Source organism: Homo sapiens, chromosome 4 (genome assembly GCF_000001405.40).
Source record: "Homo sapiens chromosome 4, GRCh38.p14 Primary Assembly".
In the NCBI taxonomy this organism is placed as follows: Eukaryota; Metazoa; Chordata; class Mammalia; order Primates; family Hominidae; genus Homo; species Homo sapiens.
The window spans coordinates 118705222-118720137 of NC_000004.12; the positions used below are offsets into that span (position 1 = coordinate 118705222).

The window sequence follows — 14916 nt, forward strand, 5'->3', positions numbered from 1 at the left end:
CCCAGCACTTTGGGAGGCCGAGGTAGGTAGACCACTTGAGCCCAGGAATTTGAGACCAGCCTGAGCAACATGGCGAGACCCTGTCTTTACAAAAAATTTAAAAATCAGCCAGGTGTGGTGGTGTGTTCCTGTGGTCCCAGCTACTTGGGAGGCTGAGGCGGGGGATTGCTTGAGCCCAGGAGGTCAAGGCTGCAGTGAGCTGAGATCGTGCTACTGTACTCCAGCCTGGGTGACAGAGCGAGACCCAGTCTCAAAAAGAAGAGAAATAACTGTATCCCAAAGATTCCGAGAAATGAGGATTGTTTTAGAATTGAGGACATCAGAAATGTGAAAGGTTTTGGAATGACTGTTGATGAAAACAGATTAATTGGTCTGCTCTTGTTATTTAGGAACACTGCCTCATGGGGATCAAAGGAACTGTGAAGCGTAGCACAGACGGGGACTTCATTCATGCTAATGTTGACATTGACTTAATTATCACAGAAGAACCTGAAATTGGCAATATAGAAAAACCTGTAGAAATTTTTCATATAATTGAGCATTTTTGTCTTGGTAGAAGACGCCTTCATCTATTTGGAAGAGATAGTACAATTCGACCAGGTAGGACCTCAGTTAACAACAACTTTTATGATTCTTTGGGTTATGCATGTCAAGAAATAGGACATGGTGCTGTGTAAAATAAAGTTCTTATGCATTTGATTCCTTTTCTTGCTGTACTTCAAATATGAACAGTTTCAGGTCCACAGCAAAATTGAGAGGAAGGCACAGAGACTTTTCCATATACCTGCTGCCCCCACACATGCATAACCTTTCCAGTTATCAGTATCTCCCAACAGAGTGGTACATTTGTTACAAATGATGAACCTACATTGACACATCATAATCACTCAAAGTCCACAGTTTACATTAGGATTCACTCTTGGTTGTAGTAATTCTGTGAGTTTGGACAAATGTATAATGACATCTATCCACCATTATAGGATCATACTCAATAGTTTCACGGCCCTAAAAATCCTCTGTGCTCCACTTATTCATCCCTACCCACAACTCTTGACAACCACTTATCTTTTTACTGTCTCCGTAATTTGCCTTTGTCAGAATGTTACATAGTTGGAATCGTATAGTATGTAGCCTTTTTAGATTGGCTTCTTTCATTTGGTAATTGGCATTTAAGATTTCTCCATTCCTTTTCATGGTTTGATAGGTCATTTCTTTTTAGTGCCGAATAATATTCCATTGGATGTACCGCAGTTTTTATATCCATTTACCTACTGAAGGACATCTTCCAAGTTTTGGCAATTATGAATAAGCTACAATGGAAATCTGTGTACAGGTTTTTGTGTGGTCGTAAGTTTTCAGCTCCTTTGGGTAAATACCAAGGAGCACAAATGCTGGATTGTATGGTAAGAATGTTTAATTTTGTAGGAAACTGCCAAGACTGTCTTCTGAAGTGCCTGTACCATTTTACATTTCCACCGGCAGTGAGAGTTCCTGTTGCTCTGCATCCTCACCAGCATTTGGTGTTGTCAGTGTTCAGGATTTTGGCAATTTTAGTGTGTGTGTAGTGGTATCATAATGTTGTTTTAATTTGCATTTTTCTGATGACATATGATGTAGAACCTCTTTTCATATGCTTATTTACTATCTGTATGCCTTTTTTGGTGAGATGTCTTTTAAGGTCTTTGGCCCATTTTTTATTTGGCTGTTTGTTTTCTTATTGTTGAGGTTTAAGAGTTACTTGTATATTTTGGAGAATAGTACTTTATCAGATTTGTTTTTTGCAAATATTTTCTCTTATTCGGTGACTGTCTTCTCACTGCCTTGTTGCATGTTTATTTTTATTTAATTACTTTCTGCTTTTTTATTTTCTTTCTAGTTTCTTTGGATTTACTTGCTGTCTTTCTATCTGAAGTATTTTTAGATTGATATTCAGGTTAGGGGTACAGGTTTAATTTTGTACTTGTAAACTACTAGTACAAAAAGAAAGAAAGAAATTGAATAGGCAAGAGTTTCAAGAAAGAAACTCTTGCAAAAATTTAGTATTAGCTACATGCAAATAAGGAAGAAAAATTTGATGGATCAAAGTGTAGATGTTTGGGAGTTAGCCATATAAATAATAGTATGTGCAATTGAGAGTCTGTTCAAGAGACCTTAATTTATGGCCAGGCACTGTGACTCAAGCCTGTAATCCCAGCACTTTGGGAGGCCAGGGTGGGCAGATCACTTGAGGTCAGGAGTTTGAGACCAGCCTGGGCAACATGGTGAAACCCTGTCTCTACTAAAAATACAAAAATTAGCTGGGTGTGGTGGTGTGTGCCTGTAATCCCAGCTACTTGGGAGGCTGAGGCAGAAGAATCACTTGAACCTGGGAGGCAGAGGTTGCAGTGAGCCGAGATTGTGCCACTGTACTCCAGCCAGGGTGACAGAATAAGACCCTGTCTCAAAAAAAAAAAAAAAAAAAAGACCTTAGTTTATTAAGTTGCTCCTCAAACACACTTCTTCCTCAAGGACATAGCCTAAGGTATTTCACATATACCTTAGGAATACAATTTACCATTGCTTTAAAATAAAATTTACAGATAACTATGTGAGTCAAATACACTCTGAAGCCAGACAATTTTTTTTTTTTTTTGAGACAGGTTCTCACTCTTGTTCAGGCTGGAGTGCAGTGGCACGATCTTGGCTCACTGCAACCCCCGCCTCCCAGGTTCAAGTGATTCAGCCTCCTGAGTAGCTGGGACTGCAGGCGTGTGCCACCACACCTGGCTAATTTTTTGTATTTTTAGTAGAGATGATGTTTCACCATGTTGGCCAAGCTGGTCTCGAACTCCTGACCCCAAGTGATCGCCCGCCTTGGCCTCCAAATTGCTGGGATTACAAGTGTGAGCCACCACACACCCAAGCCAGACTATTTTAAACTTACTCTGTTCTTAGTAATACCTTTAGAATTTCTGATAAAACACAATGTTGCTGTGCAGAATTTGGAAGAGAGGGGAATCCCTTGGACTTCTATAGCCAGTTTACTCTGCAAGGATTTCCATGTTTTACGTAAGAGACAGTATAGCAAGGGAGACAGAGTATTAGTTATTTTTATTATATCTTTAAATTTTCTGTTTCTTATTCCTTGTTTGTGGTGTTGTGTTCCACATATATTGAATATTATCTTCCATAATACCACAAACATGCCAAAAAACAAACTAGAAGGCAGCAAATAAAAATCTCATAGGTTTAATAGTCAGTGAGAGCCCATAGGTGTGGAATGTGCTCTTGATCATGGTATCTGCCAGGTAATACATAAAAGACACAGTATAATTAACCTTTTTTTCTTCAACTATTACAAATCTTACTGTATTCATGCACTTTTAGAAACTAAAAATGTTTTAAAAAACAATGAACTAAGTATTGTACAGAAATGGCTACTGTATTTTAGAATGTGATCCTAGTGAAATATTTTTCATTTTATAGCTTTTTATGATGCATCTACTTTTCTAAGAAATAACCTAAGGATGATGGGGCAGATATATTATAAACCTAACTTTGCAGATAAATAACCTAATTCTTACAGATAATTGGACCTGTCCCAAATAATGCTGTGTCTCTTATAATGCTCCAGAGGCATATTTTCAGGGTCCCCTACAAAGGGCATGTCTGTAAGAGTCACCACACCCAAAGAACCCCAGAGCACCGTGTCTGTATTGGGTATTTGTAGTTCCTTCCATTCTAAAGACAGTTTAATCAATCAGAAAATATCCTTATTACAAGAAAAGTTGTCTAGCAATATAATTGGCAAAATAGCTGTTTACCTACAGAAGTATAATGTGCAGTGGAAATTCTGAGAAAGAAGAAATAATTTTCATTTCATGTAAGAAATATATTTGAATTGGATGTTGAAGGGTGGGATTTTTAACAGGTTGACAGGATAGAAAAGAAAATAATATGGGCACAAAAATCGGGGTTAGTATAGAAGCAGTTACTATAGTAGTTCATTGTTTTCCTTAGAGGTTCATGAAAAGCATTAATGAGAAATGTTATTGGAAAGTTCATTCAGCCATCATTGTAAAAGATCTTAGATTTTATATTTATGAATTTGGGCTTTGTGGAAACAGTTGGAAGGTTTTTGAGCAGAGAAGTGACATGTTTTAAGCTTTGCTTTAGGCTTTCCACTTTTAGAGGGAGGAGAAGCTATAGGTTGGGAGATCATTACAGTATATATGTGTGTCTGTTACACATGTGTTATATGGTAGGGTATTGACCTTGTAAAAAAAAATAAAGGCTTAAATTTGAGGGTGGCAGCAGAAATGGAAAGATAGGAATGAGTGGGAGTAACATGGTAGTGGTTGAATTTCTCAGACCTATCAACTGAGAATATTTTCTAGTTAGCAAGTGTAGAGCAAAAGTTGGTTCCAAGATTTTAATCAGAAAATGGCACCATTTACATAAATAGGAAGATTATATATAATTTATTACAGTTTCACTAAACCCAAACTCAGTGTAATGTATGGGATTTTTTTTCTCTAAGTTCTATTCTCACAAAAGATAGTACGTGGATGAGGAGGATATATTACAAAAGTTACAATCTAGGAGGAGAAACAAGATATATACCTGTGAAATCTTTAAAACATGACCACAATTAAGTGCCATTCTGTAAAAGAGATCAGTATTGGATGAATGATGGGGACATCTTTAAGAATGCATTGGGGATTTGAACTAGCTTCTAAAGAATTAATAAGAGAGAATTGCAAATAAAAAGTATAATCTTTTTTTCCTCCATTTCAGGCTGGCTCACAGTTGGACCAACGCTTACAAATAGCAACTACAATGCAGAAACATATGCATCCTATTTCAGTGCTCCTAATTCCTACTTGACTGGTTGTACAGAAGAAATTGAGAGACTTCGACCAAAATCGCCTCCTCCCAAATCTAAATCTGACCGAGGAGGTGGAGCTCCCAGAGGTGGAGGAAGAGGTGGAACTTCTGCTGGCCGTGGACGAGAAAGAAATAGATCTAACTTCCGAGGAGAAAGAGGTGGCTTTAGAGGGGGCCGTGGAGGAGCACACAGAGGTGGCTTTCCACCTCGATAATTGTTGAAGACATTGAACCTATTCATCCTCCTCTAACCTTCTTTATTGTAATTAAATTTCAAGTGGGAGACTTAACTTTAGAACTCACTTCCAGCTTGCACTTTGCTTTAATTTCTCTGAGCTGCAAGAATGTCTTAGCGAGCCTTGCTTGCAGTTGTCACACACACTGTCTGGTTTTTTTCAGGATAAATGAATGATTCTGCCTTTTGTTATGTGCGTGAACAGAATGGAACAACTCAAGTAGCTTCATCTTCAGAGACTGAATTTATTCTGATAGACTTCAGCTAATTACAAAGGATTTTGCTAATTTTTGGGAATAAATAATGGAAAAAGATCCAGTCTGTGGTATCATGCTAGTGCTGACAGGGCCTTGATAGAATAGAGTTGGAAAAGATGGTAAGCTTTTGTCAGGGTTTTAACATTTTCTTGATGAAACAATAAAAAGAGGTAAGCTTTTTTCTTCTTTTTTTTTAAGTTTTAAATAAACTCAGATATAATTTGAATACTGAAGAAATTAAGAGACTTTGAACAAAAACTCTTCCCAAATCTAAATTTGATAGGGGAGGTGGAGATTCCAGGGGTGGGTGAAAGAAGAGATAGAACTTAGCAGGCAGACTTAAAAAAAAAAAAAAAGTTTATCATCATAATCTCAATTTTGTGGCTATGACTCCTAATCACGCTTCCTAAGAAGCAAAGGAGGACAAATATTCATGTGCTAGATAGCACTGTGGTGTGGACTTGAACTTGGATTGACCTTAAATTTTATATTCCTCAAATAAAAGAGAGGCAGCGACAAGATACCTCATTATCAGATGCTTGGTTTATACATTTTGGGACTAAAATACTTGGTGATGAAATGACATACACCTTTAAACTTGTTATGGAGATAGTTTAATGTAAAACCAACTACGGAAAACCCTCAACTTAAGGATACAGCTTGGAAATTGGAACTGCAATTGCCTTTTATTAAAACCATATGGTGTGATGTTTGTTTTTAAAATTATATAAGACTTTATGCTGTCACTTCTCTTGCTGTACTGTAATTCATGTTTTAAATGAATTTGATAATGAAATTATACTATTATCATTCTTGATGAATACTTTTCTTATTTTTATGATTTTTCTAATGAAACTTTAAACTTTTGAGATTTGAGAGTCTGTTTTCTATAAGTAGAATTACTGTTGTTACAAAATGAAAAAGGACTGACCTAAAATCAGTCTCTTCTTTTGGTCTGTGATGGATTTTAATGGCCGTTCTGTGCTCATATATACCTAAGATGAGATTATATTACATCCACCAAAGACTCAGTTTGAAGATAAGGAATGAGTGATAGAAGAAATAAGGCTGAGATCCTTAAAAGCCTAATTAATTTAACTCGCTTAACCCATTAGTACTATCTAGTACAAGACCCCTTTTTTTTTGCTGAAATTATGGTATATTTTCAACTTCACTAATTACAAATTATCTAGATTTAGAACTCTATATGTCAGCATTGACCTGGGAATGAAGTCAGGATAGAGAAATTCCACTTGCCTGTGATGGGTCCTTAGAAGTATCAGCTAAGGAGTGACCCTGTCCTATACACAGGGCTCTCTATTACGTTCCATACCCTGGGCCTACCCAAGGTGACATTCCTGCTGTTTACATGGCATAGGCACCTGTGAGATCAGTGTCACAATTTCATCTTAGAAAGAGGTAGGTATGGCTGCTTTGTCGGTTGAAAGTTAAGGGGAGCCATGATCTACCATATTTAGGAAAAAGTTATTTAAAAAAGAGCAGATGGTGGAAAAAGAATGTAAGACCCAGAATTTATCCCTTTGACAATGAATCTGGCCTTTTTAATAGCAGGATGGAATTGATTCACTAGTTTTTGCTAACTTTCACTTTCAGTAAAGGTTGAGGTGTTGTTTTTGCAATGACTGTGTATTCATTGAGGAAAGGTTTCCAATGAAATTTCATTACTCTGACCTCTTCTAATTTTTGGTCTTCTTTATATTTACATGTCTTACATTCCACAAAATTATTTAGAAATGCTGGGCATGGTGGCTCATGCCTGTAATCCCAGCACTTTGTGAGGCCGATGTGGGTGGATCACTTGAGGTCAGGAGTTTGAGACCAGCCTGACCAATATGGAGAAATCCCATCTCTACTAAAAATACAAAATTAGCTGGGCGTGGTGGCATGTGCACGCCTGTAATCCCCGCTACTCGGGAGGCTGTGGCAGGAGAATTGCCTGAACCCAGGAGGCGGAGGTTGCAGTGAGCCGAGATTGTGCCACTGCACTCCAGCCTGGGCGACAGAGTGAGACTCTGTCTCAAAAAAAAAAAAAAAAATTGTATAGAAATAAATTTTTAGTTGCTTTATGCACTAATTCCTTACTGGGGATAGAAGCTAATTATTGTGAAATAACCTAGTTTAGAAGTTAGAAGATCAGCATGTCTGAGTTTTTACAGAATTATAATTCATGGTATTCCAAACCAACTGTTGTTATTTATTTCCAGTGAGAACCATTTTCCCACTGACCTTCCTCCTTTCAGAGGATGGGGATTAGGAGGCCCAAAGTACTGATTGAGTAGGAATACTTTTTTACTCTTCTTCACTGTGGAGAAAGAAGAGGGCAGGTAGTTGATGATGTCAGGAGAACAGATTTTATGGTGTGGAATACCATACCTAAACACAAATGAATCAGATTAGACCACAGAATTGTGATGATGGCAGTCAGAATGTAATACGGTCATCATGAAACAGCACAGTGTGAGAGGTCAAGGTGTCAACCTGGGAAGTGAGAATCAAGCAGGAGTGTGGCATGGCAACCAACTCACAGATCCAGAGTTGAGAGGGATCACTACTGCAGCAGTTCTGCTCTGTTACTCTGGTAAGTAGTAGAGCCACTTTATGAGCCCTTATTTCCTATCTCCCTTATTCTGAGGCCAGGTCAGTGATATGCTATAGTTTCATTTAAGTTAATGGAGTATAAAGATGGGATACTTGGGAGCTATATTGTGCATCAGGGTGTCACAGCTGCTACTAGGAGTTACTCCTTTTCATGTCTTTTAAAATACTTTCTACCCATCTTAATTGCTAAATTATCTTTCAGTTAGTTACAGCGCTTAATTTAAAACCTGTACTGTTTTCATCCTGAATTTAGAACATAAGATTTAGCCTTTGAAGTATAGTTTCAGACTTTACTAATTTGTTTAATATAATCCTTATTAACATGACAAAATGAAAGCCCTGTTGGGACTTAGTCTAAACAGTAGTCTTTGATCTGAAAGTGTCTCATATTTTGTGATCTATTAGAAACATAAACCTTTGCTTATGCAGAAGGTCTTTCTTAGAACAATCCTGTAATCTTAGGGTTCATGTGTGACTAGCATTATCCTCTCTTTGATGTTGGGTAATAGAGGCTGAACTTTTCTTGTGTATATATAGTTAGTTTTGAGGCCATAAATCTAGGACTTCTCAAAAGATTAGAACATTTATCCAGTAAACTGACTCCATTGAAGACTTCATTTCTGGAAATACCACATTGCTTCTGCTCTCAATAACTCTATCATTTACTCGTATAAATATTGCTAGCTGTAATGCACAGAGAAAAACTACCTCATTCAATCTAGATAATTGGGACATCCTTTTCCAGTAAACCCTTTTTCCACTACTGGATAAAATATTAAAATGATCAGTTTGAGTGTATGTTAGAGTTCATGTTTCTGTAACTAAAGGTGCTAATAAACTGAAATCAGATAAGGTAGGTTTTTCCAAAAATACTTCTAAATAATTGACAACCTAGAAGTCAACAATGTAAAATGCATATGGGACTCTATATTAATAGAGAAGCAGGCCAAGAACTTTTTAATGGGATAATTGTCTTCTTTAGGCACATTGTTTGCATATTAACGACATGGAAATATTTTCACTCATTTACTTTCATCCATCTATCTGTGCTTTTTCTCACTTTGATGAGTTCTCTCAACTCCTTTCTAAGAAAAGCAGAGCAGAGCAGCATAGAGTGCGTTAGTAAATGGCCACTGACTCTTGGTCTCAGGCCATAGCAACTATAGAGAGAAGAGTGGGGCTGGAGACCTCATACCCTGGGTAAAGTGGACATCACTTGTCAGCTCCAGCTAATTGTCACCACAGAGAGAAGAGGGTAAGTCTGAGATGTTCATGTGCATTTCCCTACATTTTAGAGGTTGACAAAATAGTTTGTGACTTTTGCTTACATTTGCATTCATAGAACTAAAAAAAATTTAACTTGGCTAACAAAATACCACATGCATATTTTCTTTTTTATTTTTATTTTTTGAGACAGAGTCTCTGTTACCCAGGCTGGGGGGCAGTGATAAGATCTTGGCTCACTGCAACCTCCGCCTCCAGGGTTGAAGCGATTCTTCTGCCTCAGCCTCCTGAGTAGCTGGAATTACAGGTGCCCACCACCACACCCAGCTAATTTTAGTATTCTTAGTAGAGACAGGATTTCACCATGTTGGCCAGGCTGGTCTCAAACTCCCGACCTCAACTGATCCACCCACCCTGGCCTCCCAAAGTGTCAGGATTACAGGCGTGAGCCTCTGCAACTGGCCAACATGCATATTTAAATTATGCATGCATTGTAGCTGTATACTGTGTGACCACATTTACTTAAAAAAGAGGAAAAAAGGTTACTTGCTTGAGACAGGAAACTATCACCTTTGAAAGCATATTAAGTAGTTGGCTTACTTTGGAACACACAGTAGACTGAAAATGTGAACTAATACTTTAAAATTGCCGTATAATGATGTCATTGCAAGCCATTCATCTATCCAATGGGGGAAAATGTGGAGGTCTAGGCTTGTGTTGTCACAAAATACACCTTTTAGATAATCCTTACCTGTACAGATTTTTATAACTGTTGTTATCATAAGAGAATGGCTACATCATTATCCTGCCTTTTCTGGGTGTTTATTTTGTTGTTTTTGAAAGTGGACAAAACCTCAAAGCACAATTTTGTTCTGATATATCCAGTTTAGTAGTTTATGCTGGTTAAATGATCAAAGTAATTGCTTAAATGTCTTGTGGAATTAGCTGTCACTTTATAGTTTATGTATTGTGGTGGGTACCTTAATAATAAAAAGATTTTTAATGTAATAATATTGCTCATAATTCATGAAAGCTACATGGGTAGTTGGGTTATTGTTTTGTCTAAGAAGCTAGGTTTATAGCATGGTAAATAAAAACTCAAGATTATAGCTTTCTTTTCTACTATTGAGCTCAATTAAAGGATAATGCATGATTAAAAATATATTTATAAAAATAATTCCAAAGCAAAATTTAGAAAAATGTAAACACAAATGTAAGCCCATCAGCCAACTACCTCCTTGAATCTTAACTCCATATCCTTCCTCAGATGGTGCTGACAAGATAGTGGATCAGGATGGCACCAGCACCTCTTTGGGGACCTTTCCCAGTTCTGATTGCTTTCCTTTACCCTGATTCAAACAGAAAGCTTGCCTTTTCATCTGATACCTGCATTTGTCTACTCACCTAGTCCTGAGCTTTTACACCACTGCTTGGGCTCTTATGACTTAGTTTTTGTTGTTAGCTTTATAAGGGCAGTGGTATGCTTTCTCAGCTTCTAATGTATGGCATATAATAAGTGCTCAATAAATAGTCCCTTTCCCTTGCTGCTTGCTTAATAATTGGAAATAACTCCCAGGAGATTTTTCATAACCTTCCCTTGTCAGCTCTTTTCCCTTCTGCTGATGCTTTCTTGCTGTGTAAGAGGACTGTTTTTCTAACAAAGACTTTTTCTCTGTCTCAAATAAAAGAACATTATCTTTGGGGATAAAGAAAACAAAGCAGTTTCCACTGAATTACCATTTATCAGAGGTCTTGAACAGAACTAACTTCCCCTGGTCTGACTTTAAAGGAACCTGACTCCTTCCTTAGAATGTAACTTTTCAATTACTTCTCTGCCAAGGGCAACATGTTAAAATAAGGAGAGCGATTTAACTACACCTGTGTCACCTTGTTTAATTATAGCCTAAGTGGAAAAAGTAGATTATATTTCTCCGGTGAATAATAGAGACAGTAGATTGCCTGAGTAAGGGGGGTGGACAGGATGGTGGAGGATGGGTGTGGGGTGGCACCCAGGAGTCTTAGGAAACTGCTGCTGGTCAGCAACAGCAACGCCTATAATCCCTAGGGGAGAGAACCTCATGGGGAAAGAGCTCAGTGGCACGGAGCTCCACTGGGAAAGTAGCTCAGCCCAGACCACTCACTCATTTTCCCCAAGCATGGTGTGAAAGCAGAGAGCCCTGGACTTCACAAAGCCATGGGGCACTTTGACACTAGTCATCAGTGTGGATGAAAGAGAGTAAAGATTCCCTTTCAGTCCTGTGGGATAGAGATTCAGATTGTCAGGTTGATTTTAAAAACATGACATTTTTGCACACCAGAGTTTACAGTTGCAATTCATATCTGCTTGAAACTTCCCTAATTCATGAAGGTAATAACCTTTTTGACACATAGGCATATGAGGTGGGGTCCCTAAAACATTGATTGGGTAACATTAAACCCCATTGGGTATCCTAAAATGGTATTCTTCAAACATGAATAATGTGTGTTTAAACAGTTTTTCATGAACCCAAGGAATACCTCATATTGAAAAATACCAACAAAAAAACTAGAGTCTCGTTCTTCAGAAGGTCTTAAAATTGCAAATCTCATTGCAAAAGAGTTGTTTTTATAACTGGTAAGAGAATTTTTTCAACTTTTATTTTAAATTCAGGGGATACACATGCAGATTTTTTACCTGGGTATATTGTGTGATGCTGAGGTTTGGGGTCTGAATGATCGTCACTCAGGTACTGAGCACAGAACCCAAGTTTTTCTTTTTCTTTTCTTTTTTTTTTTTTTTTTTTTTGGTGGAGCAATCAGAACACATACAACATTTATTGATTAGGGTTTGCCATCTTATATGGGTGTGGTTTGTCGCACCCCCAAAACAATTATGATAGTAACATCCAAGATCACTGATCACACATCACCATGACAGACATAATAATAAACAGGTTTGAAATATTGTGATAATTACCAAAAGGTGACACAGAAACACAAAGTGAGCACACACTGTTGGATCAACAGTTTTTGAATTCTTGCCCCACTCCCTCCCTCCCACCTCAAATAGTCCCGTGTCTATTGTTGTCATATTTATGTGTAGCAAATGTTTAGCTCCCACTTATGAGAACATGTGGTATTTGGTTTTCTGTTCCTTTGTTAATTTGCTTAGGATAATGGCCTCCAGCTGCATCTATGTTGCTGCAAAGAACATGCTTTCATTCTTTTACATGGCTGTGAAGTATTCCATGGTGTATGTGTACCACATTTTCTTTATCCAGTCCACCATTGATGGGTACCTAGGTTGATTCCATGTCTTTGCTATTGTGAATAGTGCTGCTATGAACATGTGTCTTTTTGGTAGAATGATTTATTTTCCTTTGGGCATATACTCAGTAATAGGTTGAATGGTAATTCTGTAATATAATTTTTTAAAAAATTATCAAAGCCAGGCATGATACCCTGTAATCCTAGCTATGTGGGAGGCTGAGATGGAAGGATTACTTGAGCCTGAAAGCTGGAGACCAGCCTGGGTGACATAGTGAGACTTCATCTCAAATAATAAAAAAGTGGAAAAATAAAATAAAAAAGCATTCCCTAAAAATTCTTACACAACTCGGCCGAGCGCGGTGGCTCACGCCTATAATCCTAGCACTTTGGGAGGCTGAGGCGGGCAGATTGCCTGAGCTTAGGAGTTCGAGACCAGCCTGGGCAACAATGGTGAAACCCCGTCTCTACTAAAATACAAAAAATTAGCCGGGTGTGGCAGCAGGCACCTGTAGTCCCAGCTACTTGGGAGGCTGAGGCAGGAGAATCGCTTGAACCCGGGAGGCGGAGGTTGCAGTGAGCCGAGATCGCGCCACTGCACTCCAGCCTGGGCAACAGAGCAAGACTCCATCTCCAAAAAAAGGAAATTCTTACACAACTCATGTATTCTTGAGACTGCATCTGTAATCCACTTATAGTTTCCTTAATGAAACACTAGTAATTTGTCTCCCCAAATTGACTTTGTTCTTTACGTGATTCAAAACTAGATTCTCATGTATTAAGTTTGGATAACAATGGCTCTGGAAATGTTTATGAGGGTACATTTTGGAAATCGAGGGAGTTTAGCCTGCACAAGAAACATGATAGGGATATGTCTCTGAACTATCTGAAAACTGCTATTCATTGGAGGAGGAATTCACCTTGGGAGGCTGAGGCGGGAGGACTGCTTGAGCCCAGGAGTTTGTGACCAGCGTGGGAAACATGGTGAAACCACATCTCTACAAAAAATTAGCCAGGCACATGCCTGTAGTCCCAGATACTCAGGAGGCCAAGGCAGGAGGATCACTTGAACTCAGGAGGTTGAGGCTGCAGTGAGTCATGATCTTGCCACTGCACTCCAGCCTGGGCAACAAACTGACCCCCTGTCTCAAAAAACAACAACAAAAAAAGTGATGAGAATATTACTTTCCCAAACAACCATTTATGAACAGTTCTGTTAGAAAATTATATTTGGTGGACTTTCCCTAAAACTTCTCTTTTTGGTACAAGTACTCGCTTGTCTTTTGAGGCCAAAGGTAGATTGAGATCATACCTGCTTTCATTCCACACTAGTGATTCATAATGGCAAACTCCCTAAGTTCTTTTTCTAACATGTATTGTTTCCAAGAACGATATCCTGCATATGCATTTGTTTTTTGGACACAAGTCTAGATGATTCTTAATTATTCTCAGTCTACTACCATTATGTTAGACTTTTAGAAGTGAACCTTCTAGGAAAGTTGCCATTTGGTAACCTCAAAAGATGTGCCTTCAAAAAGTGAGTGAACTCATTTCTTTTTTTTAAATAATGGTTCCTTAACATTTGAAATACAAGTTCTTGTCTTTGGTTTATATATTATTGAGGTGTTGGTTTTTAGCATTTAAAGTAGTTTAAGCTGCAAATTTCTCATATGGCAAATTTATTCTAATCTCTGAAACCATCTGTTAATTGGAATTTCTATAGCATTTAAAGAGCTTGATTTGGAGGATGTCAATTACGATACTGGTGGCATAGTAGCAAATCCTATTAGGAGTCAGATTAGTCCTAGTTTTTATGATCCTTAGCAAGTTTAGTAAAAAACCTAATAAAACAATAACAGCAATGAATACTTAAATAGCAGCACTATGTGTCAGACACTGTTCGAGGCCCTTTATAAACTTTAATTCTTGAAAAAACTGGAGGAAACAGACACAGAAAATTTTCTAACTTCCCCTGGATCACACAGCTAGTGGTGGAACTAGTATAGAAACCCATGTCGCTGGGTCCAGAGCGACATGGGTCTGAGCCGTTGTGCTCCACCAGCTCTTCCAGTCTGGGGATGGGGAGCACCGTTTCAGAGCAGCACTTACACCATTTTTGGCAAGTGGTCATTCAGGACTCACTGGAGCATTTCCATTACATATTGGGTTTCTTCTACCATGAAAGCTAACCTCACCATTTATATTATATTCCCTCTGTTTTCCAAGGGTCTTGCTCTTTTGAATATTTTTTCTCTGTCTTCAATCTTCAACATTCTTTGTAGTACAGTATTGTCACTATCTATATTTTTTCCACATAATACTGGCTTCTTTCCACCAGCATTTGAATGGCAAATCCCTTAAAATTTAAAATTTAAAACAAATTTAAAATTTAAAAAATCCTCCCCTTTCTGTGATCCACCCGCTCGTCGCCTCTTGAGTTGCCTCCATTCTGCCTCCCCTTCTTCAACC

At 38.1% G+C, this 14916-nt stretch overlaps 1 protein-coding gene across 2 annotated transcripts in view; it reads left to right on the forward strand.

Annotated features, from left to right (window-relative positions):
* The window catches only part of METTL14 (methyltransferase 14, N6-adenosine-methyltransferase non-catalytic subunit), a 30039-nt gene extending 19830 nt beyond the window's left edge, over nucleotides 1–10209 (forward strand). The window contains exons 10-11 of one of the 2 annotated variants that reach the window (NM_020961.4): nucleotides 390–600; nucleotides 4777–10209. In NM_020961.4, coding sequence (NP_066012.1) covers nucleotides 390–600; nucleotides 4777–5081 — 516 coding nt within the window. In that variant the 3' untranslated portion in view covers nucleotides 5082–10209. Of the gene's footprint in view, nucleotides 1–389; nucleotides 601–4776 lie in introns of those variants that run through there. The other variant, XM_047416029.1, reaches the window with a different exon arrangement.
* The last annotated feature ends 4707 nt before the right edge of the window (nucleotides 10210–14916 follow it).